Source organism: Homo sapiens, chromosome 2 (assembly GCF_000001405.40).
Source record: "Homo sapiens chromosome 2, GRCh38.p14 Primary Assembly".
Taxonomy (NCBI): domain Eukaryota; kingdom Metazoa; phylum Chordata; class Mammalia; order Primates; family Hominidae; genus Homo; species Homo sapiens.
The window spans coordinates 197239072-197266408 of record NC_000002.12 but is presented as its reverse complement, the minus strand read 5'-3'; the positions used below and the strand labels follow the sequence as shown (position 1 = coordinate 197266408).

The following is a 27337-nucleotide window of genomic DNA, read 5'->3' as shown; positions in this document are numbered from 1 at the left end:
TAGTGGCTTAACTGGCTCTCTTAAGGATGTAATTTCAACTGTAATTTTCCATTTTTCCCCCTTTCCTCTGGCATCCTTATAGAAAGTTCTTAGCTGTTATTTGAGGCTTTCTAAAAATTATCAAAATGAAGTAGCTACTGAGCTTTTATTTTGGTCCTTAATCAGAAAGGACTGAAAATGATGGTTCTTGGTGGCGAATTCTTTAGATAGTCTTCACCTCCAGCTGAACCCCTGAAAGACTATGAGTTCCAGCCTGGCCAGGCGGCTACCTCTCCTCCAATAGGTTCTGCTTGCATGAGCAATCATTTTCCCACGAAAGCACAACGCCTTCATGTACAGCTTTCCTTTTACCTGGTATTCAGTTTGTGACGTTCTGCTTGGAGAGTGAGCATTTGATTTATTATTTTTACTGAAGGTCATTTTTATATAGGGCTATGTCATATGCTTTACATTTTAGCCCTTGGAGGATGTGACAAAAGGCTTTTACTACTCGATTTCAATTTGTGAAAACATAGGTTTTTCGGATTAGAACTCTTATGTCATACTGCTAATAAAGCCAAAGGGTTGAAATATTATTAAAAACGTTCCTTTTTGTCTCTCTTTTTAACATCATGGAATTATGTGCTTTTTCAAGTGTTAAAGGAAAGTGATACCCATTGGTTTGCAGTATTTTCATGGTAACATTTAATATGCTTTGTTCATAAATGGTCTCAATTATAATGATCTCTGCATATGAGAAACTCTACACTTAGGAGATAGAGAATCATGAAACAAAATGTTCTGTCATTTTTATTAGACAAGGCAGAGACAGTAAAGAAAAAAAAGAGGTAGCCCACAACTTCATTTTTAAAAAGCTGTTACTGGCCGGGCATGGTGGCTCACACCTGTAATCCCAGCACTTTGGGAGGCTGAGACAGGCAGATCACTTGAGGTCAAGAGTTCGAGACCAGCCTGGCCAACATGGTGAAACCCTGTCTCTACTAAAAATTCAAAAAATTAGCTGGTGCTGTGACGCACCCCTATAGTCCCAGCTATTCGGGAGGCTGAGGCAGGAGAATCACTTGAACCCAGGAGGCAGAGGTTGCAGTGAGCTGAGATCATGCCACTGCACTTCAGCCTGGCTGACAGAGGAAGACTCTGTCTCCCCACCCCCTCCCCACCAAAAAAAAAAAAAAAGAAAAAAAGTGCTGTTACTTAAGGAAGTACGTTAGCATTTCTCTGTCTAAAATAAGAAAAAGCTACCTGGCATGTGGAATGGGCTCATGATGTCTTTGCACTTATTTGAATTTTTGGCTAGAGTGGGATTCAGGGTTGATGTTGGACAGAATATTTCTATGAGGACGGAATTCTGTGGGAGGTTTACTGGGTTTTCTCAGTGTGCCCAAGATGCTGCTGACTCTTTTACTGTCCTTGTCATTGAGCCAACTATCGTTTTTATTTTGTAAATGGCAATGACCATTAAAAAATTGAGAACTTTTAGTGTCTTTTAAAAGAAAACCATATAATTTTTAAGGAGCCTATAAAAGCTGACCTGGTAACTTTGACCTAAGTATTTTGTCCATTTTGTCAGGGATATAGAGTCATGGGTTTTGATTTCTTGAACTTGGGAAATGTTATTTTCTAATCACCCTCAGGAGTCTGGAAAAGGTTAAAGAAAGGTTCCCATATTATAAATGATGTGAAGGATTCTAGTGCCCAGGAGCATCCTGCCATCTCTGGCTAGAGACAGAGATGGGGAAGACAAGACTAGCCCTTTACTGGATGGGTGCTAGAGCCGAAGACTTTCTCCTTCTGTGAGGATGCCCTGAGGGAAAGGGAGGAAATCCACCCCATGTTATGAACTATTTGTTGCAGCTCTGACTTCAAGGATTGTGAAAAATGATACTAAAAACTCAAAAACGTTGATGCTATCATCAAACTCTGACAGTGCCTGCTGAAAACATGCTGGGAAATTCCTTTCAAGAAATCCAGGATGCTTTCTGCGTAAGGAATGGCTATCAAAACAAAAGATAGCGGTTGAATTCAAAGTGCTTCAAGAGAGGTATTAGTCGGGATACTTATTTGGTCAAAATTAGAACACAGAAGTTTATTTTACTCTCATCTATAATGGTCTGAGCATAAACAAACCAAGACTGAGAAGATGACTCCATGATGTTGGGGATAAAGTTTTCTTTTATTACTATGCCATCTCTACCACATAGCTTCTATCTTTCAGCTAAGATAGTTGCTCCATCTTCTATCACTATGGGAAAAGGAAGTAGGAAAGAGGAGGGCAGGCTCCTTTCTTTTCCTTTTCCTTTTTCTTTTCTTTTTAAAATAAGAAACATGATCTCACTATGTTGCCCAGGCTGGTCTCAAGCTCCTAGGCTCGAGTGATCCTCCTGCCTCAGCCTCAGGTGTAGCTGGGACTACAGATGCATACCACTGTACCGGGCTTCTGGCCTCCTTTCTTTTAAGAACATGACCTGGAAGTTGAAAACATCTTATTCCGTTAGCCAGAATCAATCACATAATTAATTTTCTACAAGGCAGGCTGGGAAATGTAATCTTTAGGGAGGCAGCCATGTGCCTAGCTAAGGCTTCTGTTACTATAGAGGAGAGAGAAGATGGATCCTGGGGAGACAGCTAGGAGCCTCTGCTACACCGGAATAGTGACATTTGCCCTTCAGTGTTCCTGTACTGCTGTGGCTTTCAGGCAAATTCAAACTTGACACCTTTTTTTTTCTTTTTCTTATTAATACAGTATTTGTCTTTCCTCTATCAAACCCTGAGCCAACCATGTTCCCCAGGCCATCTGGGGAGGTGCAGGAAAAGAAACATACAGGGCTGACAAGACATGGGAGAAAGAAATATGGGAGGTGGAGACAGCTGCTTCACATGGGGAAGAGGATGAGAAAGGCCACCATCAGGCAAAAGAGCCCCATGGTTTCCTAGAGGGTAAAGCCTAGAATGGTGTAGGAGAAGAGCTGTTGTTTCAGAGAAGGGTTCCTGGCATAATCAATGATGAGGCTCCCAAACACAGTCGCAATCCCAGCCCCAGAGCCCGCCACCCCAACTGTGGCGCCCCAGCCCCAATGAACTTGGCTGTTGTGTCGATGTCCCTTGAAATGGCGCTGCTTTCCAAGCTGCGGCCAGGGACAAGTGAGGTAAGGGGACGTGAGACTACCAAGCTGCTGAGGTTCTCACCTGTCAGTGTCTCTGGTCATTTCAGCACCACTGCAGGTAGCAGATGGCTTAGCAGCTGTGAGGCGCTCTTGACCAAGGAGGGAGTGGAGACGAACTTGGAGCAGGTGTACATTTTCAGGGGGTGAGGGGCTGTGGCAGGAGAGCTGGGCCCAGTGCAGGGAAGACACAACACCTTTTAAAGAGGCATTATTATTCACAGACAGCACCAGAGCATATCATGCAATATGATATCTTGCTTAATGTATTGTTTAGATATCCATGTTAGGAAAGTAAATTTTGAATGTATTGCTAACGTTTTTTGTTTTTGTTTTTGTTTTTTTAAAAGAATCTCACTGTGTTTCCCAGGCTGGAGTGCAGTGGCGTGATCTCGGCTTACTGCAACCTCTGCCTCCTGGGTTAAAGCGATTCTCCTGTCTCAGCCTCCCAAGTAACTGGAATTACAGGTGTGCTCCACCATGCCTGGCTAATTTTTAATATTTTTATTAGAGACAGGGTTTCACCATATTGGGCAGATTAGTCTTGAACTCCTGGCCTCAAGTGATCCACCCGCCTCGGTCTTCCAAAGTGCTGGGATTACAGGCATGAGCCACCATGCCTGACCTGTCAATCTTAACTTAAAAGCAACTGTAGTTTCTTCAAACATTCTTCTGTGGAAAGAATGCACTCATTTTGGTAGGTTGAAATTTTTACGTGGAATTTCCGTTAGCACAAATCCATATGCCTTAAAATGAGAAAAGGCTTCAGAAAGGGCACCCACTAGGGGGTAGGTCAAAATTGTTCATTCTGGATGGGAATTTGATTCTGGAGTTGTCAGTGGCCAGTAAATAGAGTTCACTTCATGATGTTGACTCTAGGAGTGGAGCCAAAACACTACAACCTCATTTATAACTTCCCCACCTCTGTGGGGAATCATATTAATAAGTAATTTTAGGGCCTGGGTTCTAAGATAATTTTATTAAAATAAAAAGCTGTCTCTTGTTTCTCTACAGGAAGATACTGCCAGAAAGCTCTGCCATTTATTCTTTCTGGCTACTTCCTGTCTGGATTTTGTTTATTGCTCTCTGCCCAGAGTGCTGTATCAGAGGGAACTACCGTATGGCTAGGAAGATTTGTTTGTATAACAGTGTGCGAATATTTTGTCCTGGCTGGTAGGAAGTAAGCTGTTTCTCATAGACTCTTATTGTAAAGCCTAGCACATATCATACATTACAGATTTTTAGTTGTGATTTCTAGTTGCATGTGAATTTGCATTTTGCCCTCGGTTTTTCTCTTGTCCCGTCACACAGAAGAGATGATTTCGAGGTGTGAGTTTTTTTCAGATCCTGTTTTCTTCATAAGGATGAACTAGACTTGCAGGCTGTCTCTTCTGGCCATCGCTGCAGTTAGCAGACCCTGTCTCTTGTTTGATATGTGACAAATGTTCCTGTTGTCTTAGTAGTATAACATCTCAAGCGTGGTTCTGATTTTTTGTTTAGCAACGAAAAGTCTCAGATTCTCTAGGGTCCCTTGTTATCACTCCTTAAACACTTTTCAGAAGGCTCAGCAGTAATAACAGCTACTATGGAAGAAGACAGGGTGTGTACAGTCATCAAAGCTTTATCTTTGGCATATAGACTTATGTTTTTAGAAAAGAAAACAATTAGAAAAGAAACATTTTTTTTTTTTAAGAAAAGATTGTCTATCTTTTTTACTTCTTTTTTTTTTTTTGGTTGGCAAAAAAGCATTTGATGAACTTCCCTTTAAAAATTGTTTGGTTACAGCATGGTACTGGTACCAAAACAGATATATAGACCAATGGAACAGAACAGAGCCCTCAGAAATAATTCCACATATCTACAACTATCTGGTCTTTGACAAACCTGACAAAAACAAGCAATGGGGAAAGGATTCCCTGTTTAATAAATGGTGCTGGGAAAACTGGCTAGCCATATGTAGAAAGCTGAAACTGGATCCCTTCCTTACACCTTATACAAAAATTAATTCAAGATGGATTAAAGACTTAAATGTTAGACCTAAAACCATAAAAACCCTAGAAGAAAACCTAGGCAATACCATTCAGGACATAGGCATGGGCAAGGACTTCATGTCTAAAACACCAAAAGCAATGGCAACAAAAGCCAAAGTTGACAAATGGAATCTAATTAAACTAAAGAGCTTCTGCACAGCAAAAGAAACTACCATCAGAGTGAACAGGCAACCTACAGAATGGGAGAAAATTTTTGCAACCTACTGATCTGACAAAGGGCTAATATCCAGAATCTACAATGAACTCAAACAAATTTACAAGAAAAAAACAAACAACCCCATCAAAAAGTGGGCAAAGGACATGAACAGACACTTCTCAGACATTTATGCAGCCAAAAAACACATGAAAAAATGCTCATCATCACTGGCCATCAGAGAAATGCAAATCAAAACCACAATGAGATACCATCTCACACCAGTTAAAATGGCGATCATTAAAAAGTCAGGAAACAGTAGGTGCTGGAGAGGATGTGGAGAAATAGGAACACTTTTACATTGTTGGTGGGACTGTAAACTAGTTCAACCGTTGTGGAAGTCAGTGTGGAGATTCCTCAGGGATCTAGAACTAGAAATACCATTTCACCCAGCCATCCCATTACTGGGCATATACCCAAAGGATTATAAATCATGCTGCTATAAAGACACATGCACACGTATGTTTATAGCGGCACTATTCACAATAGCAAAGACTTGGAACCAACCTAAATGTCCAACAACGATAGACTGGATTCAGAAAATGTGGCACATATACACCATGGAATACTATGCAGCCATAAAAAATGATGATTCATGTCCTTTGTAGGGACATGGATGAAACTGGAAACCATCCTTCTCAGCAAAATATCACAAGGACAAAAAACCAAACACCACATGTTCTCACTCATAGGTGGGAATTGAACAATGAGAACACATGGACACAGGAAGGGGAACATCACACACCGGGGACTGTTGTGGAGTGGGGGGAGTGGGGAGGATAGCATTAGGAGATATACCTAATGCTAAATGACGAGTTAATGGGTGCAGCACACCAACATGGCACACGTATACATATGTAACAAACCTGCACGTTGTGCACATGTACCCTAAAACTTAAAGTATAATAATAATAAAATTTTAAAAATATTGTTTGGTTTAGGTCTCTGTTTCTAGGAAAAGTAGTCTTACCGTTTTTCAGGCAAGGCCACTGATGAGTGATTTTGCTCAAGGTCATATAAGATAGTATAGCCTGTGTTCTTTATTGGACCACATTCTTTTCTTTCTTTCTTTTTTTTTCCCCCCTCAAATTAACAGTCACACTCATGGGAATCCCACACAAATGTGAAACTCCTCAACCATATTCTTTTCAATGAGTTATAGCAAGTGACTCTATAGATGACCAAAAGGTGGTTATATGCCCCAGGAGATACATTAGCATTTTAGATAAAGTAAGAACCTAGAGAAGGCAGGCTCCCTCTACAGCAAGTCCTTCCTGCTGGGGCCTGGTCTTATTCATCATGGTGTCTCTAGTGCCAAGCTCAGCACCTGGCACGTTGGAGTCTGCGGCATATGCTTGTTGGCTGTTGAATTAATGACTATGAGTTGGAGGACGACAGTTTAACAAAAAGGAGAAAAGATTTGAAAGTGAAGTTTTCTCAGGCAGCCTAAGGAGTGTTGGATCAGCTTAGATGCAGAAGGGAAAGAGATTATCTGCAGAAGTCTGGGAAATCATGGTGGGCTAGACAAGAGGAACCTAGATCGGGGGAATTTAACAAGGACCTGTCTCAAAACTGGATTTTTAACTCCCATATCTTCCAAGTAACTTTGTTTTTGTTTCTTAGGTTTACAAAGTTATTCTTAAGGTTGAGTCTGTTGCTATGTTGTGTTCTTAGTGTTTAGCTCTGGGAGGGGGACACAGATGTATATAAGTAAGCAGGAGCTACTCAGGGGAGGCCTCTGGTAGGAGCTGCAATGCTGGACTCAATGGCCCAAATTTGCATCCCTGGGTCTAGAGTCCTGGGACCATCCTGCTTTTCATGTTTACTCACCCAGTTCATTAATCTTCCTAGACAATAAAAACTTACATTATTGCCTTTGTAGGAGGACTGTGCTTAAGGCTGCTTTACCTAGTCTTTAAGAGCCTAGAAGGAAACTTGGCAATGTCTTTCTGTCTAGGCTGCAAGATTTGGTAGGTGGTTGAGACCTGAATAACGGAATCCCTGGCTTCTTAGTTTTAGTGTGTTGGAAGTTCTTCAGAACTCCCAGAGCACTTCATGAATATCTACTCAGAGCAAGCATTACATTTCTATCCTACAGAAAGAGATACTGAAACAAAACAAGAAGACACATTTTGCAACACCATTTAGAAGAAAATGGAGCAATCACTGATCATTAGGGAAATGCCAGTCAAAACCACAAATGAGATACCACTTCATACTCATCAGTGTGACTATCTGAAAACCAGAAATAGCAAATCTTGGTGAGGATGTGGGGAAATTGAAGACCTTGTGCTTTGCTGTTGGGAATGTAAAATGGTGCAGCTGCCATGAAAAACCGTGTGGTGGTTTCTCAAAAAGTTATATATAGAAATACCATTTGATCTAGCAATCCTACGTCTGGGTATATATCCAAAAGAATTGAAAGCAGAGAGGTGAACAGATATTAGTACATTCATGTTCATAGCAGCATTATCCACAATAACCAAAAGATGGAAACAACTCAAACGTCCAATGACGTATGAATTGATAAACAAAATGTGATATATGTGAATATTATTCAGCCTTAAAAAGGAAGGAAATTCTGGCCTAGTAAAGAATTCCCAAAGTAATCCCAGCACTTCAGGAGGCCAAGGTGGGTGGATCACTTGAGGTCAGGAGTTCGAGACCAGCCTGGCCAGCATGGTGAAACCTGTCTCTACTAAAAATACAAAAAAAAAAAAAAAAAAAAAAAAAGGATTAGCCAAGTGTGGCGGCACATGCCTGTAATCACAGCTACTTGGGAGGCTGAGGCAAGAGAACTGCTTGAACCTGGGGCAGTGGTTGCAGGAAGCCAAGATCACACCACTGTACTCCAGCCTGGGTGACAGAGCAAGACTCCATCTCAAAAATAAATAAATGAATAAATAAATAAATAAAAAGAAAAAATAAAAAGGAAGGGAATTCTGACACATGCTGCAACATAGCTGAACTTGAAGATATTATGCTAAGTGAAATAAGCCAGATGCAAGAACAACTATTGTATGATTTTCATTTATATAAGGTACCTAGAGTAGTCAAATTCAGAGAGACAGGAAGTAGAATAGTGGTTACCAGGGATAAAGGGGGGAGGCAATGGGAAGTTATTGTTTAATTGGCACGGAGTTTCAGTATGGGCTAGGGAAAAATTTCTGGAGATGAATGATGGTAATGGTTGTATAATAATGTGAATGTACTTAATCCCAGTGAACTGTACACTTAAAGATGGTTAAAATGGTAAATTAAAAAATTTTTACTTTTTGTGGGTACATAGTAGGTGTATATATTTGTGGGGTACATGAAATGTTTTGATACATGCATGCAATGTGAAATAAGTACATCATGGAGAATGGGGCATCCATCCCCTCAAGCATTTATCCTTTGTGTTACAAATAATCCAATTATACTCTTTTAGTTATAAAATGGTAAATTTTATGTATACTTTACACAATAAAAAATTTGTCCAAAAATATTGAATTGTTTTAAGATACTAAATAAAAGAAAAAGGAACTGAAGAAAGTCATGATTGTTTTTTTCCCCGAAGTTTTATAATAATCACTAAAAAGCTGACTGTTACTGCCTGTTGATTCTTTTAATCAAGTAAAAAAAAAAAAAACTTCTGTGTTTCTGTGTGCTTTTAATTTGTTTTTTAAAGAATACCTCTTAAAAACTACTGTCATACCAAACTGAACTGGTAAATATTTAGCTTTCCCAGGTGGGTCTACATGGTACTCACATTTGTCCAACTGACTTCCTTTGCAAAATGATCTGAAAGAGAGCTAATCACCTTTACTATAAAGAAATCCTACACAGTGATAGCTGCCACCTCCAAGAGAGTCCTGGAATCTGCTTAAGCTCAGGCACCTGAAATTTTAAACACTAAACCTGTGCAAGGAGAGTGCTTTCTTCTTGGGGATTGGATTGGTGTTTTCACCTATTCTTCCATTTTTTTTTTGAAGATGAGCTGCTTGTAGAGGTTTGGAGACATCAACTGACTTCTCTCTTTTCTGTACCTCCTGAGGCACCCAAAGCATGAATACAGTTTTTTTCTTCTTCCTCTCTCTTTATAGACTTGGTCTTTGATCTGTGATCTATGAGAAGGCTGAAGCCCCCTTACAGGACAGTTTACAATTTACTGGGAGTACATGGAAGTCCTGGACTAGGGTGATGTGGCTGCCTCCCATTGCACAGGAGCGATTAGCTTAGGATACGAGCCTCTTGACTTGTTTATACACAGGGCCTTACATCCTCCCCTTTTGTATGCCATTTTCTGAAACACCAAGGCCTTTGTTTTAAATCTATTCTAAGGGGGATTAATGTATTTGTATATACATGAAGCCTTCTTGGGAAAGAATCTTAGAAGTGTATTTTTTAAAAATTCAAGCCTGAAAAGTAGATGTTTAACTTCAGGTTCATGACATATTTTTTTTCCTGTTCATCTGTCTCAATTTGATTTATTTCCTGGTGTAAAGACAAATGCACTTTGGTTTTGTTACTTTGATGTAGATAACTTGTGTTCAAGTTGTCTTTTGGCTCTGTGTGCTTACATTTACTTTTTATAAAGCCGTTGGTATATGGAGAACATCTAAATTTTGGAGCATTAAAGTTGAAAGGCCTTTCAAAGACACATAGTCAGAAACACATCATAGAACAGCAGGAATCTTTTGTACTCATGCTCCTGACAGTTAGGGATCTAGTTTTAACTGTTGTCAAGTTTAGACACCTAGTGATTTAGAAATGAGCCTGGTCCACTGTTGGACAGTCACTAGAAACTAGTTCATTATCTGAAATCTTTCCCTTTTTAATTGCTTAGGTCTTAGTGTTCTGCCATCTAGAGCATTAAATGAAAATGGTTTGAATCCAATGATACTATAAGCTTTGAAAAGAGGCTCAAATTACAGATCAATCACACATTTTCTCACAAACCACATATACAAAAGACAGCCCCTGTTAAGAAAGTATAAATTCAGAGTATCTTAAGAATCCCCTCCAAACAATTTTCTAAAGTTAGACCAGATAGATTAAGATTCCTTATTTTTAAACTGCACCCAGGCATTACGCTTTTCAAAGGCTCCTGCAATGTACAGCACAGATGCGTGATTAAACATTTCTTTATTTGGTGAACGTCTTACATGAAGCGCAGGGTCCTTCCTGCTCTGGCTTTCATTATCTGACTCCAGGAGCGTCGTTGCCTTTGTCAGGGCTCCAGCCCTACTGGCTCTGGCTGGCTTGTCCTGGCCGCTGTGTAGCTGCCTTCGATGGGGCAGCCTGGCTGGGGAAACCCAGGGGGCCGCCTCTTACCACACTGTCAGTGGCAACAGCAAAGCATGTAACAGCCTAGAAAAAAGGAAGTTCACAGGCAGGCCTGTAGTTCTTCTTTTGTTTTGGGGCCATAACTTACAATTTACAGATTCTCAATTCCAAAACTATGATGTTTAATGCAAGTCATGTTAGGTTTATTCCTTCTTGCTAGAAAAGAAGGGATACCTAGCTTATATCCAAATAGGAGCTTGCACGGTTGTTAATTTGGTTTTTCTTTCAGAGTTGGGGTGTGCCCACAGCAAGTGATTTATCTCTTGGTGAATAAGGCCCCAGGCTGCTCTATTGTGCCTGCCTTTTTTTGTCACTTAGCTTGTGTTTCTCACATGAGTGTTCTGTGTATGCTGAGGTGACTACTCAGGAAGCTGAGCTTCCAAATGATGGGAGCCCAGCCCCAGGAAGCGTAACCCCATAGACAGGGCTCTGTGAGGAACAGGCAGCATTCCCATCCTACCTCTGGTGTCTGCTTCTCTCTGAGTGTCTTCTTCATTCCTTCCTTTTCTAAAGACCGCCTTTCCAACTTCTTGGACCATAGTTGTGGAACATATGGCTACAGGTTCAGCCAAAGAGAGACTGACCCTCACTCTTCATCTCCTTCTCACATTCTCTGGACAGGGAATCTCCTTGGCTGCCCTGAGCTGAATACTTCTCTGGTTCAGTTAACTATTGCCTTGGGCCTCAGGGCAGCACCTTGGACAAATAACTCTTAGGAACTTGATTTGTAGATGTGTTTCACGGATGGAAGGAGAGCATTTTGGAAAAGGCAGTTAATCTGATAGGTGTGCACCCCTCTGGGGACATGATGAAGTGCCACAGTACAACTAGTACATACGCCTAGAGTATCAATTTCCCCTTTAGTTTTAGAAGAAACATGATTTTGATGTTAAAGCAAATATATATATATGTGTGTGTGTGTGTATGTATGTGTGTCTATACACACATATACACACACAGTAAGGTGGAACATACTCCTACAGTATCAATTTCCCCCCTACTTTTAGAGGAAACATGATTTTAATATTAAAGCAAATATATATATGTGTGTGTGTGTGTGTGTGTGTGTGTGTGTGTATGCATGTATGTGTGTCTATACACATATACACACACACTAAGGTAGAACATTTGCAAGAATTTTAAAGATAACCATAAGGGAGAATAATTAATTTTGTATTTAAGAGATGCTCCTCCGCTGTTAGGACACTTTGGTAGGATAGTTCAGAAAGTACTGACATTTCTGGCCAATTACAGGCTGGAGTTGGAAGTTTTTTTTGTTGTTGTTGTTTTTTAAGATGGAGCCTTGCTCTATTGCTCAGGCTGGAGTGTAGTGGCGCTTTCTCAGCTCACTGCAGCCTCCGCCTCCCAGGTTCTCCTGCCTCAGCCTCCCGAGCAGCTGGGATTACAGGCACCCACCGCCACGCCCGGCTAATTTTTGTATTTTTAGTAGAGATAGGGTTTCGCCATGTTGGTCGGGCTGGTCTCAAACTCCTGACCTCAGGTGATCTGCCCGCCTTGGCCTCCCAAAGTGCTGGGATTATAGGCGTGAGCCACCGTGCCTCGTCTTGGAGTTGGAAGTTTAGCATGATACCATGTTGAGTTATTGAGTATTTTTCTTGTTTTAGTTACGTGAGGCCAGAAGATTCACTGCTTGTGTATTACAGAATTGTGTACAGAATACTCCCATTGTGGGTGGCTGGGCTAAGAAACGTTAGTGTAATCTTTCAAGAACCCTGTGCGGATTATGAGTGTGTTTCTGGAATAAGGCAGAATAATGAGATTTAGCCAGTGTTGGAGGCATCAGTGGGCTTGTAAATAGTTAACTCTTTCACTTGCAGCCCACATAGAGTCGCCTGTCTGTATCTCCTCATAGCCCACTTCACATAGTATGACTTTGTTTTTCTGGGCCACAGAAAGAAGACAAAACTAACTGCAGAGCTTTCTCTTTACCTAGGTGAGATTCCAGCAGAAGTACTTTTCTGTGATTTAAACACCTACATGGGAATATCTTGGAGAGTTAGGAAAGAATTGACATATGGAGATGTCTACATTAATATCTTTCTGGTCTCAAGTTCTTACAGGTTTCTTTTTATATGTATATTCTACATATATATGCAATAAATATATATAGCATAATTCATATTAGTAGAATAATGCAGAAATCAACATTATTGAAGACATTATTAAACCACCTACTATTTTTATTGACGTATGTGGAATATGTACGTGTGTGTGTAGATAATATATAGCAGTAGGATAATGTGGACATTGACATTATTGAATACATTAATAAACTATCCACTATGTTTATTGATATCCTAGAATAAGATTCTAATAATCTTAATGACTGAGATAATGTCAGTCTCCTAACTGACAGTGAGAAGAATTCAAAAGCCATCAGTAGATAAATTGGGAATGCCACCAGGTTTTTTAATGACCCCCTTTTAATTTTCCCTGAAGTATAAAAATCATTTCCTCAAGACGTTAAAGAAAAGCTTGAAAAAATAAAATTACTCATGGTTGTACCATCGTTATACAGGAGCTGTTTTTTTGACTTTTATTTTTCTGAATAAACAAACAAAACCACTATCACAGCAACAAAATCTTTGTAATAGGACTAAGAATTCCTGAATACTTCAGGGAACATCCTGAGGATAAATTAGACTTATGAGTATTGATAGTGGATGCCACGTGATCTGTGCCTACGGTCAGCTTACAAAGAGCTTTTAAAGCAGTCAGGTACTATAAAAAGTCAAAAATATTTGTTTCTGGCCTCTACTCTTTTTTAGGTAAAGGATTAATTAAGGGTGTAAATTATCTTTCAGAAACTCTTTTCAAAGCACTGCAAGAGTAAATACAGGTCTTTTGCCTAGCAGCATTTAAAAATCAATATAAATATTAGTCTTATGGTTCTTATAAAGATTTAGTTTAAAAAGAGAATTTTGCAGCTAAAATATTTGAACACTTGGGGGAATATTTAAAAAATATAGTGGCTTATGCCTGGCGTGAGACAGGCTGAGGTGGGCGGATCATGAGGTCAGGAGATCAAGACTATCCTGGTTATACACGGTGAAACCCCGTCTCTACTAAAAACGCAAAAAATTAGCCGGGCGTGGTGGCGGGCGCCTGTAGTCCCAGCTACTCGGGAGGCTGAGGCAGGAGAGTGGCGTGAACCCGGGAGGCGGAGCTTGCAGTGAGCCGAGATCGCGCTACTGCGCTCCAGCCTGGGCGACAGAGACTCCGACTCCGTCTAAAAAAAGAAAAAAAAAATTACATATATATATATTCAGGATGCAACCCTAAGGATTTTGATTTGTTAGACCTTTGGCGGGGCGGGGCGGGGCGGGTAGCGGGGAGCAGGAATCTGTATTTTAAGTTTCTCTTAGGGATTCTGGTTTGGGAAAAAATATTTAGGTAACAGAAATAGATAACAGGCAGAGTGGTGGAGTCCAAAAGTGTTTGTATACCAATGCCTGTTCTTTTTTTTGCTGAAAGATTAAATAGTTTTAGTGTATGTGTTATTTTAAGGAGTTTTTTTCCTATTTAAGCAAAACAAAATCTGAAGATACTGCTTTATTCCCCCTCTGATTTTGTACTTAGCAATTTTAGGATAAAGACACAAAAGATATTTTATCATGGCTATTGTTCCCATACTGAAAGAATAATTCTTCATTTAGAGAGTGTAGTTGCTTATGAAAACAAGGACTGATGCATAAACGTTAATATTACTCTTAGAATTTTCAAATATAGCAGTCCTAGTATGTCTTTTGAAGAAAAAAAATAAGTAGTGGAAACCTTCGTTTTCATATTTTTATAGCTAAGATTGACATTTATGCCTCAGTTGTTGAAATTTAGGAGGTTGAGGAAACAAGCTGGAATTTGGGTCCGCCCAAGTGTAAGTCTAGACGAACCAGTCATTCAGTCTGCATTCAGTTTGCAGAAATAAAATTAAGCCAACTTTGTTTTGAAATATGTGAATCACAACAGCACCAAGATCCAGAAAGATTAATGGGCAAAGAGTAAGAACAGATTTTTCAAAGGAGGAAATACTTGCAAGCATGCCTATAGAAAAACACTCCACTCCAAATCAAAGAAATGGAAGGAAGAAAATAATGAGAAACCATTTTATGGCTATTAAACTAATATAAATATAAATAAAACAAAGCTGATGTGATATCAGAAAACGAGTATATTCTTACATTTCTGGCAGCAATGTTAATTAGTTCAGTTCTTTTGGAGAACACATTAGCAGTGGATGTAAGAAGTCACACAATTGTCCAGACTCTTTGACCTAGTAACCCACTCCCTGGAATTTATTCTAAAGGAAAAAAAAGCTGTAAGAACAAAGATATTTATTGTGCTGTTATTTCGATGATGATAAATGAGAAAGAATTTGGATAGACAACAACAGACAAAATATGGAATGTTTTTAAGCTACTCAGAAACATATTCAGAAAGACAGTGTAAACCAATAAAAAGGTTTGGAAAAAAGCATAGTAAAATGTAAATACGTGTATTATAATAAAATACATAAAAGACCTATCAAGAAATAAACATCTTTGTTATGGTTTTAGCAATATATGTGAATTTAAAAAACATTTAAAAATATATTGTTAATAAATAAAATACATTTTAAAAGAAAAAGTATAAAGCTTGTTAACAAGAGTTTTTCTTCTTTCTTAGCATAATGCAGTGAAGATGGGTGAAGAGAGATGTGTTTCATCTGAAATTTGAAGGGCTTTACAACTCTTCTCCTTTAACTAACTTACCATCCTTTAACTAACTTACCACCCAAAATGAATTCTGTAGCCTTTGTCACCTGTCTTTTCTGCTTCTACATTTTTGCAGTTACCCATGTAAATTCTTAGCTGGCTCTGGGGTCAGACTGTCTGGATTTAAATCCTATTTCTACCACTTATCTGGGTGTAGACCTTGGAGAAACTGTATCACTACTCTGTGCCTCAGTTTCCTCATCTGAGAAATAGAGATAATAATGGCCTCTAGCTAGTGAGAATTAAATGAGAGAATGCACATAAGGTGTATAGTAAGGTGCCTGGTACTAGATGTGCTCAACAATATAAACTATTATTCCTCACCTACATTTGGGAGGCACTCTTAACTGCCCATCACACTTTCTTCCTTGCTAACAGACCACAGTTTTATTCAGGCATTCAGCTGCGGTGTGGCCAGCCTCGGGATGAATGAATGAAGGCTTCTCTGCTAGTGGCAGTCCTATTCCCATTTGCCACAAGTTGGTTGGAAGTGAGCGTGTGCCTTTGTTCTGGTCTATGAGACTTCATGGAAGTCAACTGGGGTCTTCTGGGAAAGATATTCCTCCCTTATAAGAAACAGGTGCAGGGAGATATGTACCCATTACCTCTCCCTGGCCCCAGCTTTCCTGCTTTGGACATCCTTGTGTGATGATGTGTTGTTACTGCAGCTATCTTGCAATCACAAGGAGATGGCTGCCAACAACCAAGGCTGGCAGAGCGAGAAGATGGTCAGAGCCTGGACCTACGATGACATCACCAAGCCACTGAACTACCTGGTCACTGACCTACTGAGCCTAGGACCACCTACCTCTAGAGATTTTGTTAAGAGAGATAAATCAAATGTCCAAATTGCTTAAGCAAATTTTAGTTGGCTATTCTGTTATTTGCAGTTGAAAACACCCTGCCTGATAAGACTGTCATTGTCTAATGCAATTTTAAAATTATGCCACCACAAAGAATTTCATGAGTAGATTATGATTTCTGGAATAAGTCAGCACTCTTCTATTAGCCTTTCACTTTCCATGTTAAGATTTTCATTACATGCTTTTAAATTTTAATCTTAATAACTGTCTTATGTATTTTAAACCTAGACGCTTCTTTGAAAACTACTTTGATAATGAAAGTAAAATGTAGATGGACTTTTTTGCTTTAATTATCAACATGATAAATATTCTCAAAATAAATGCTGTAATGAAAGACATTTTGGTGAGAGTGAATGTAAACCTATAACTCTACATTGACGATCCTCCTGCAGCTGTGATAGGATTATGGCTTAAATATTTTGAATTTCTGTTTAAAAATAAACTTTAGTGCAGCTGATGAGGAGATTATGTGTTTTATTGAGTGTGTTTGCTGAAATTACATCTCTAAAATAAATAAGATGTTGTGTATTTTCTTGTCTGTGTTACAAAAACTTTTTGCTTCCCAGTGTACTGTTTGAATAAAAGTATGTTGGTGGCCACCACATTCTCCCACATGTAGAGCAAAACTGGGAAGCTCTTCCTCTTTAATAATACCGATCTTGCCCTATTTCAAGAAGGTTTAGTGACTTGATAAAAATTACTTGTCAAATGTGTTTTCTAGTGGGATTTTCTTTTAAAAATTTCTTTTTTTATTTCTGTACATTTTTTGAGACAAGGTCTCACTCTGTTGCCCAGGCTGGAGTGCAGTGGCACAATCATAGCTTGCTCTGGCCTGGAATTCCTGGGCTCAAGCGATCCTCCAGCCTCAGCCTCTCAAGTAGTTGGGTCTTCAGGTGTGCACCACCATGCTCAGCTAATTACTGTATTTTTTTTGTAGAGATGGGGTCTCACTGTGTTTCCCAGGCTGGTCACAAACTCCTGGCCTCAAGCCATCTTCCCATCTCAGCCTTCAAAGTGTGGGATTACAGGTATGAGCCACCTCACTCGGCCAGCTAGTGGGATTTTCATAACCAAGATCAGCTGTATACCACACTTTTCTTATATATTACAGAATTTTCAAGAGTCTTTCTTCATGCATAGCTAAAACTATTAGTTCTCCCTAAACAAAACTTTTACTCAATTCCAGCACCCCCACCATCACCACTTCCTGAACTACACATACTTCAGTATCTCCTGCCACATGGACACCGCATGCTACCCCTGCTTTGACTTCCTCCCCCTCGTCTCCCCAGAGAGCCTCCTATGTTTGCAGCAAGGATTAGTTCCCACAGCAGTCCTCCATAGCAAGTTGGTCCCTGCATTAGACAGAGTTCTCCACAGATACAGAACCAATAGGAGCTATATCTATGTCTCTATGTCTTTCTCCTCTCTCTCTCAATCTCTCTCTTTATATATATATATACACACACACACACACACACACACATATACATATATGTATAATATATATAAGTATGTATTTAAATTATAAGGAATCAACTTACATGATCACGGAGGAACTATAAGGAATATATATATATAATTTTTTTAATTGTAAGGAACTGGCTTACATGATCATGGAGGCTAGGAAATCTCAAATCTGTAGTGTGGGCCAGCAGGCTCTAGTCCCCAGAGAGCTGATGATGCTGTTCCACTCCCAAGGCAGTCTGCTGGAGAAGTCCGTCTTGCTTGGGATGGCCAGTCTTTTTTTTTCTATTCAGGTTTTTAACTGATTGGATGAGTCTCACCGACCTTATAAAGGGCAACCTGTTTCACCCAAAGTTCATTCATTTAAATTTAATCTTATCCAGAACCCCTCTCCAATTTGACACATAAAGCGAACCAGGTTAAAGATAATTGCGTTTTGCACTCTGTCCCTGCAGCAGCAGTAGGCAGGCAGCCAGGAGGGACAAGTGTGGATATTGCTACTTTCTTTTTCTCTGCTTCTGTGCTGCTTGGGTAGTTTTTTGGGATGGAGGGTGGAGGTGGGAAGGGGAATGATGAGGAGGGAGGCCGTGTCCCTAGTGATTAGTTGCTGCACACACTTGTTGGAGTGAGTGTCTTTAAGTCCAACGGGGAGCCCTGTCCCCAGCCATTTCCCGCTTCACCTTGGGCTCCTCCATTCCTCAGCCAGCCTAGTTTGGACTCTTGGTCTGAACTGAGCAGAACTTTCCTCTATCATGACAGAGTCTGTATGTGTGGGGAAGAGACTGTAGAAAGTGACCACTCTTCACAGCTGGGACCCTTGGGCCTGATTTGGAGAGAGCCTTGGGTTCTTGTCTTGCCTCCATTGTGTGGTTTTGGGTGTTCCCATCATCTTTAAACCTCAGTTTCCTCATCAGCCAAATGGGAATAATATGGCCTCAGTCCATTGCTATGGGAATTATGTGAGAAGTTTTGTGTAAATGGTTTGTGTCCTCTCATGCACGATACAAATTAAGTTTGGGTTTTGATTTTATCCCACTTCTTGCCACTGGACAAAGCCTAATTTATATAGAAGAATTGGTTTTGCTCTCTAAGTACCCAGGACTTCTGTCAATGTGATTTCCCTATGACAGGGTTGCTAAATTTTCTTTCAGGGAACAAAAGGGTACATTGTAAGGAATCTGTTTCCTGGACTGGGAAGCCATATTTCAGCAACCTATGCCCAGCTACCCCACCCAATGTGACTTGTTACACATCTGGGATGCAGATCTGTTAGCGCTGCCTTGCTTGGAAGCCCTTACTGACAGTGAGCAGATGAATAATTAACCTAATAAGTTCTCGTGCGATCTCTTTGCTGCCTGGCGTCATGTTCAGAGATGAGACTTCCTGAGCAGAAGCTGAAACAATTTTTTTCTATGACATTGCAAATAAGGACCATGCTTGAATGAAATAAAAACTGACTGCTCGTTCATTAGCCTGGACATTCATTCAGTCAACCCATATTAACCACATGGACAGCATCACCCTAGGTAGTAAGGAAGGAACAAAGGGGAAGAAAGAGAAACGAGACTGGAAAGATACAGAGATACCTGGTTGCCAGGCTCGAATGTTTGGATTTTATTTTGTTGACATTAGAACATGGGGAGTGTGAATATTGGGCTTGAAGTTGGGTCACCTGGGTTCCAATTCTGGCTCTGCTGCTTCCTTGCTGTGTCATCTTGGATAAGTTGCCAACCATGCTGTACCTCAGTTTCCTCATCTCTAAAATGGAAAGAACAATAATATTGTACGTACCTCATAGTGTTATAGTGAGGATGAAATGAGGGAATGCATGAACGTCACTCCGAGTAGTGACTGATCCTGGGGAATGACTGTAGGTGTTTTAAGTGTAGAAAATGTGTGTCAGGAAGATAAATCTAGCAGCAACACAGGGTAAGGTGGCTACAATGGGAAAAGATTGCATAGGGGGTTGGGAAGACTGTTGAGTGTAAGCGAGATGGTTGGCAGCATCAGGGACCTGGGAATTCAAGGTCCCATTGTAGGGATGGCTGGGCAGAATGATTTAAGAATCCAGGGGTTATGGGGCTGGGTGAGGTGGCTCATGCCTGTAATCCCAGTGCTTTGGGAGGCTGAGGCAGGATGATTTGCTTGAGGTCAGGAGTTCAAGACCAGCCTGGGCAACACAGCGATACCCCATCTCTAAAAAAAAAAAAAAAAAAAAAAAAAGCCAGATGTAGTGGTGCATACTTGTAGTCCTAGCTACATGGGAGGCTGAGACGGGAGTATCACTTGAGCCCAGGAATTCCAGGCTGCAGTGAGCTATGTTGCTGCCATTGTACTCCAGCCTGGGTGACAGAGTGAGATCACTGTCTAAATAAATAAATAAAATAAATAAAAATAAAAATCTAGGAGTTAGGTAGGCAGGGCACAGTCATTCATGGGATTATAGGAGGACTCTCCTCTGTCACCCCATGTCTTCCTTACATTTCATTCTTCAAAGCCTGGTCTTCATCAGGACTCATGTGGCCATGTTGTGCTCATGTCTCTGATGTCATTTTCTGGTTTGGGGACACAGCAGGTCATTAGGGATGAAGCACTGGGATAGAGTTCAACTGCTTATTCACCCCTCCCTTTTCCTGTTATCTGTTTTCTACTCTCAATTTGGTAAAAGGGTTTACATGATAGCTGAGAACTGTATTAGGGAATATATTTTATTTCTCTTCCTTCTTAGTTTTTGGAATGTTTCTGAAAGAATTTAGGTTGAGCTTTTATTTGATCAGTCTTGATTCACTTTCCTGGCCTTCTAATTTTCCCTAAATGCGAGAGGTTTTAGAGTAATAGAGTAATACATAGAGATAAGGAATGTGGCCTCATGGTAATTCCGTGGGACAGGCAGTTTGTACCACTGTTAGGAAAAATAACCCTACAAACAGCTTTGCTGTTAAGTTTCTCCCTTCCCCTTTAGGTGGGAAAAGACTATAGCAAATGGCCTTTTTATTATGTAAGGTAAATGAGTACCCTCAATTTTATCTGCTTTGTAAATCAGAATATTCATATGTTTTCTTAAACTAAGTTGAGTATGTATACTGCTGTCCCTTGGTATCCATGGGGTATTGGTTCCAGGACTATTGTAGATATCCAAATCCAGGGATGCTCAAGTCCCTGACATAAAATGGTGTCGTATTTGCACATAACCTATGTACTTTCTCCCATATACTGTAAATCATCTCTAGATTGCTTATAATACCTAATACAATGTAAATGCTATGTAAACCGTTGTTATACTATATCTTTTTATTTGTATTATTATTATTATTGAGATGGAGTCTTGCTCTGTTGCCCAGGCTGGAGTGCAGTGGCACAATCTCGGCTCACTGCAATGTTCACCTCCTGGGTTCAAGTGATTCTCCTCTCTCAGCCTCCCCAGGAGCTGGGATTACAGGACTGCACCACCATTCCTGGCTAATTTTTGTATTTTTAGTAGAGATGGGTCTTACCATGTTGGCCAGGTTGGTCTCAAAATCCGGACCCACCTTGGCCTCCCAAAGTGCTGGATTTACAGGCATGAGCTACCACACCCGGCCTTTATTATTGTATTATTATTTTTTATTTTTTTCCCTAAATATTTTAGATTTGCGGTTGGTTGAATTAAACCAATGGCAGATGCAGAACCCATCATATGGAGGGCCAACTGTAAATTCAAAATTGGCTACCCACAGGGTCACCCACTTATACACATGCTTTTACTATGTATGGAATATGATAGGTCATTTTGCTAGAACACGGAGATACATAGCTAAACAGAAAATTAGCATCACTGCTTGAGATGTAGAGTCAGCTCTCTTTAAAAGATTGTCAAACCACAGCCTGGCATTAGTTAGATTTGATAGGGTAGAAGGTGAATAATCGTAAGCTGAGCTGTCTTTGTAAATGTTGTGATTTTTCCCATCTTCCATTTTTCTATCTCCCCTGCAACAGTTTCAACTGGTAGATGAGTTCTGACACATGAAACACATGGTATTTTGTACCAATTCTATCCCAACATGTGGTTGGTGACCATAAATAGACATGATATTAGCAAATAATATTAGGAACACTGTAAATGGATGTTTGGGTGATCATTCAGAAAGACAGGAAGGTAAACAAAAAATACTGCCTGCTGCTTATATACTGACCAGTCTGGAGGCTGATGACACATTCTTCTTTGCTAAATTAATAAGAAGGTGGGAAGTGGCTTTCTTCTATTGCCATTGTATTCTGTGATGCACAAATTTAACTCAATTTTCCCATTACACTATACGTAGTTGCTTAATAGAGTCTTGTCCAAGCATTTAAAAAATCACTGTACCTTTTGTGTTGCTGCTGACATGAGCTATTAAGAAAGTTGAAACTTTAGTAGCAGCTGCTTCCTCTGCCAGTTATAGCTACCTAAGTTGGGTTGAATTTCTTTGTGCTTTGAGATGGGTCTCCCAGTTGTGAGGAGTATTTGGTTTTGATACTTTTGTTTTGGATGACAGCGATGAGTGTTCGCTAACTTTTATCCATATGTCATCTTATGTTTGCATTCCTGGGTGGAAGAATAATAGTTCAATGTCTATTCATAATACTATACGATTTCTTAACTCCCCTGATTGGAGCCCACACATATGTCCTATGTCCTTCCTTGCTATGGTTTGAATGTTTGAATGTTTGTGTCCCCACCAAAATTCATATGTTGAAACTTAATCCCCAGTGTGATCATGTTAGGAGGTGGAGCCTTTGGGAGTGATTAGGTCATGAAGGCTCAGGCCTCATGAATGGGATTTGTGCCCTTATGAAAGAGGCCCAAGGGAGCTTGTTTGCCCCCTCTGCCACATGAGGGCACAGCAAGAAGGTGCCATCCGTGAGGAACAGGCCTTCACCAGATATCAAATCTGCTGGCACCTTGATCTTGGACTTGCCAGTCTCCAGAACTGTGAGCAATAAATCTCTGTTGTTTATAAGTTAACCTTATATCCAGTCTAAGGTATTTTGTTATAGCAACTCAAGTGGACTAAGATAGTCCTCTACAGGTTTTCTGAGTTTTCAGTTATATTTTAATTATGTTAGTTTTAGGAAGGCCCAACTCACTTGAATTTATTAGCATGGATTCAGTTAACACATACAAAATGTAGAGTTCAGGCCCAAGTTTCTCTTTAAGACATTTTTTTTTTTGTCCTAAAGCTGTATTCCTGTGACATTGGATTCCTTGTTTCTTAGGTTCTTTAAGGGTTTTATTTATTTTATTTTTTTAAAGTCTTTCTTCCTGCTGTTGGCTGGAATAGTGACTTCTTAAGACATTCAGCAGTATGAACTAGAAACATATTACATATGCAGTCACCATATATGTATAGTAAATGCTTCAAAATGGTGGACTTTGTTTTGTTTTGATTTGATTCATGGAAACTCCTCTAAATAAAGAGCTTTTCTAATATTATTCTGTGTATCTACTGCAATCATTAGAGCACTTGCTCAGTGAAATTGGAGGAAATCTCAACACTTTCTAGAAACTGAGTTCCAGCAGAGCTGTAATTAGGCAGGGCAACATAATTTTCCTAAGCGATTAAGTTGCTAGTCACAGAATGTGATCTCTTTATCCAGGTCTGGAAGCAAAGGAACTTGTGCCTATTTGTGGCCCTTACATCTGGTTGTGGTTAGCCTGGCGGACTGACAGGTCTGACAGTTGAGCTTTTCCTGACTTAATTCCCCTGTTTCTCCCCTTTGGGCTGTAGAGAGATGACTCTGAGGCTTTCTGGTCTCATCTTGAGTGTTGAGGCCCAGGTAAATAAAAGCATGTCCTTTGCCTCTCTTGATAGGTGAGTCAAGTCCCAACTCTCCTAGACTAGAGTGTCCTGTTAACCATTCTTGACTTTCGTCTCAGCTGGAAAGACGGGGACCATTCCAGCATTGCCTAAGAATATTCCATAGGGGGAACAGCCTGGTAAGGTTAGAAGATGAGCCCTTTTTTTAAGGTGAACCTAGAGAGGTGGCCATACCAGTTTAATCTAGTCATTGTGGTTATAATTGGGGATAGAAATGTTTTAGCAAGAAAGTGGTTTGTAGGTTGGCTGGAGATGGACTTTGATGTCTGGCTCCTCCTGTCTCTTTTGAGAAACCTGGTATAACTGGAAATGTGGGGAGCCTTAGGATCAAGCATATTGAACGTGGTTTTCCTTTGGCCAGAATTAAAATTTGATTTTGCTTTTCTAGATTGTCCAAGTTGCTGTGATTATCAAACTGAAATGAAGTACCATTATATTATAAAATACCATTATATTATAAAATATTTGCTACATAGATCTGTTATAACTTTTCTGTACTGTTTATCAATTAGTAAATGGTATTAAATTTATTTAGATAATCAGCTACTAAAATAAACTAGTCATGAGGAAGGACCTGTTTTCATTGAATTTTTCAATAATAGTGCATTTCCTGGCACATAAAAGGCATTCAATAAATTGATGAAATAATAAGTAATAAAGTTTAACAAGGATCTACTGATAAAGTTTTACTTATAATGCACCCTAGCAAGTTTTTATATATAGACTATTTTAAAAAAGATTAATCAAGACATTAAACCTAAAGGGAGATTTTTTTAAATGGTTTGGGAAGAAAAGCACAGTAATATGTATTTTTAAGATTAATATTGTACAAGTATTTTTATTATGTTTGAAGGTTTTTGGCTTATTTATTAGCAGAGGAGGAACTCTTTAAAGAGTTTCTTTTCCTCTTTCAGGCCACCAGCACTATGTAGTGAATCATTGAAATGATTCTTCCTTTTTATTCTCATGTTACTATCAAAACCTGGCACAATGGAGGCATATAATAAATCTTAAAGAACAATAAGTACCTCTACTTCTTAGAAAAAAGAAAAATCTTACCTTCTGAAACTTCTTATTTTTAAAAATGTTAATATAGATTCAAATGTTTTTTTTAAATTTTACATAACTTTTTCCAGATTGCAAAAGCAATACAAGTTCATTATAGAGAACTTGGAAATAGAATAATTAAAATTACCATAAACTTCTGGACCCAAGATAGTTGCTATTTAATTTTGATATATTTCTTACCAGTCCAGCATTTTTCCATGAGTATTCTACAGAGTGCTTGCCTAATATAAGATGTTCTGGTGAACAAGAGTTCAAGTAGAAAATCTATTTACTGTGCCCCTCTTGGAGATCCATGATGCATAGTGGCAGTATTAAAGGCTCTGAGAAGGTCTGCAAGAAAGAAACCCTTTGCATTATTTAATCAGTGTTTCCTAAGCTTATTTGACGACTAAGTCCTCTGTGTATGTATGTGTGTGTAGAATTTATTAGCATCCTCATACTTTGACAAATTTAATTCTATTTTCCTTTTCTTCTTTTAAGATGTTAGCTTTTCTGGGAGTCTATTCTGGTTATAGGACATTCCCCTTTAATTTTTCAGGGCCGATCTCTTGGTAGGCCTCAGAAAGAGGATGCAGAGCCAAAAAGAGAGAAGATGTGCCCTGGAAAGGAGGAATAGACTTAAAATGCATGATTACTGTGGGCTGCATTACAAGATTTTGCATACCCCCAGTCCAAAAATCAAATTTATTCATGTTCAGTAAGATGCTTCTGAGACTTTGCCAGCTGTGGATTATGCATTTGGGGAAAGCTGATGGAGAGGCCTTTGATCATAGGCTGGGTTGTTGTAGAACTTCCTGATTGCAAAGAGCAGACAATTACTTTTAAGAGAGGGTGTTGGGGGTGTGGGGAAGTGGGGAGGTAGCTATCGAACTGTGAGATTTGGTTATTATCTAGTATGCCATGTCCTTGGATCTGGCTTTCTGAGATGACTTTTGTTCACAGTAAAATCTTACATGTTGTGGCTAATAAAAAAAAAACTTGCTTCAAGACTGCTGTAGAGACACTGAATCTAAACTGGGCACCAACATTGTCACCCACAGAGAGAGACTTGCTAGAAACAAGTGAGGAAGCATCTCTAGCAATTTTGTGGAGGTTTTCTTTAAGCTTCTAGCAACTGTTGCTAGTGTCACTAGATTGCTGTTTTTAGAACAGTTTTAGGGATTTCCATCTTGCTTCCTACCCAGCTCTTTCTCTTAATTTTTGAAATGCCAAGAGCTTAGTGGTAGAAGTCTGAACAACTTTTTGTTTTTTTTAAAAGAAGGTCTTGGCTTGGCTCTTTTTTTTTTTTTTTTTTGAGCTGGAGCCTTGCTCTGTCACCCAGACTAGAGTGCAGTGGTGCGATCTTGGCTCACTGCAACCTCTGCCTCCTGGGCTCAAGTGATTCTCGTGCCTCAGCCTCCTGAGTAGCTGGGATTACAGGCACACACCACCACGCCCAGCTCATTTTCGTATTTTTAGTAGAGACAGGGTTTCACCGTGTTGGCTAGGCTGCTCTCCAACTCCTGACCTCAGGCGATTCACCTGCCTCTGGCTCCCAAAATGCTAAGATTACAGGCGTGAGCCATCATGCCTGGTTTACCTCTTGAATATATATATATTTATATCTAGATTTTCTTCTATAAACATTAATTCAACTATTCTTATTTTAGGAAATGTAGAAATTATATGACCAAAAATGCATATATTATAAGGGAATATATTAGAGAGATTTGCAGAAAAATGCAAGGCCCTTCATCTGATTGAAAATCTACGTTGAAGACATTTGAGAAGAAGCAGATTGGTTGCATTAGTTTTTACATAGGTGTTCACCTGGTCATATTTTTATGTTTTTCAGAGTATGAAATCCATTGAGATAGTGAAACTCCCAAAAACTAGTTACTAAAGCAAGAAAGGTATGCAATAGAACTGGCAGGTCTATAAAATGTGAAATGTTAAGTCTGCCTTTGGGACAGTGTAAATGTTGCAAAAATTTATCAAGATAGAAAACAAAAGTAAAACCAAGACACGTTGCAGAACTCAGTGACAGTTGGTTATCTTGCATTGAGTAATCTGTGGAAGAAACTGCTGACTGTTCCCCAATATCATCTTCCTTTCTTTATAAGTTATTTATGTTTCTCCTGGATTAAAGACTGTTTTTTTGGCCGGGCACAGTGCCTCACACCTGCAGTCCCAGCACTTTGGGAGGCCAAAGTGGGCAGATGGCTGAGCCCAGGAGTTTGAGACCATCCTGGGTAACATAGTGAAACCCCATGTCTACAAAAAATAAAATACTAGCTGGGCATGGTGGCTCATGCCTGTAGTCCCAGCTACTTGGAAGGCTGAGGTTGGAGGATTGCTTGAGCCCGGGTGGCCAAGGCTTCAGTGAGCCATGCTCTCTAGCCTGGGTGACTGAGACCATGTCTCAAAGAGAAAAAAGGACAATTTTTTCTAGCTTACCTTTTGGCCAGTTATGCCTTTGTGACTGTATTCTGGCAAGAGGATTTATGTGGAAATTTCACAAAATGGGGATCATTACCCTTGTTTATCCCATTCTTTCTTCCTGATGCCTGGAATTGGGTGAGATTGCTGGACTTGAGCAGCCATTGTGGATCATGAAG

The 27337-nt window shown here is 39.7% G+C and overlaps 1 protein-coding gene, 1 long non-coding RNA gene and 1 pseudogene across 18 annotated transcripts in view, besides 3 other annotated features; 2 read left to right on the top strand and 1 right to left on the bottom strand.

Moving 5' to 3' along the window:
- Nucleotides 1-15551, top strand: part of ANKRD44-IT1 (ANKRD44 intronic transcript 1) — a 51662-nt gene extending 36111 nt beyond the window's left edge. Inside the window, exon 6 of the long non-coding RNA NR_046837.1 lies at nucleotides 15417-15551. This is a non-coding gene — a long non-coding RNA (ANKRD44 intronic transcript 1). The remainder of the gene's footprint in view (nucleotides 1-15416) is intronic.
- Nucleotides 1-27337, top strand: part of ANKRD44 (ankyrin repeat domain 44) — a 343767-nt gene that overhangs the window by 44372 nt on the left and 272058 nt on the right. The window lies entirely within an intron of this gene.
- On the bottom strand, nucleotides 2730-3352 carry ATP5MC2P3 (ATP5MC2 pseudogene 3; annotated as a pseudogene).
- Nucleotides 9398-9697: an enhancer, noted in NCBI's record as "active region_16922". NCBI's record gives its function as "activates an Ori minimal core promoter by ATAC-STARR-seq in GM12878 lymphoblastoid cells {active_cell/tissue: GM12878}" and the evidence as "EXISTENCE:reporter gene assay evidence [ECO:0000049][PMID:35858748]".
- Nucleotides 9814-10470: an enhancer, noted in NCBI's record as "OCT4-NANOG-H3K4me1 hESC enhancer chr2:198120663-198121319 (GRCh37/hg19 assembly coordinates)". NCBI's record gives its function as "activates a minimal SCP1, AML or CMV promoter by ChIP-STARR-seq in naive H9 embryonic stem cells {active_cell/tissue: H9 hESC(naive)}" and the evidence as "EXISTENCE:reporter gene assay evidence [ECO:0000049][PMID:30033119]".
- Nucleotides 26700-26749: an enhancer, noted in NCBI's record as "active region_16921". NCBI's record gives its function as "activates an Ori minimal core promoter by ATAC-STARR-seq in GM12878 lymphoblastoid cells {active_cell/tissue: GM12878}" and the evidence as "EXISTENCE:reporter gene assay evidence [ECO:0000049][PMID:35858748]".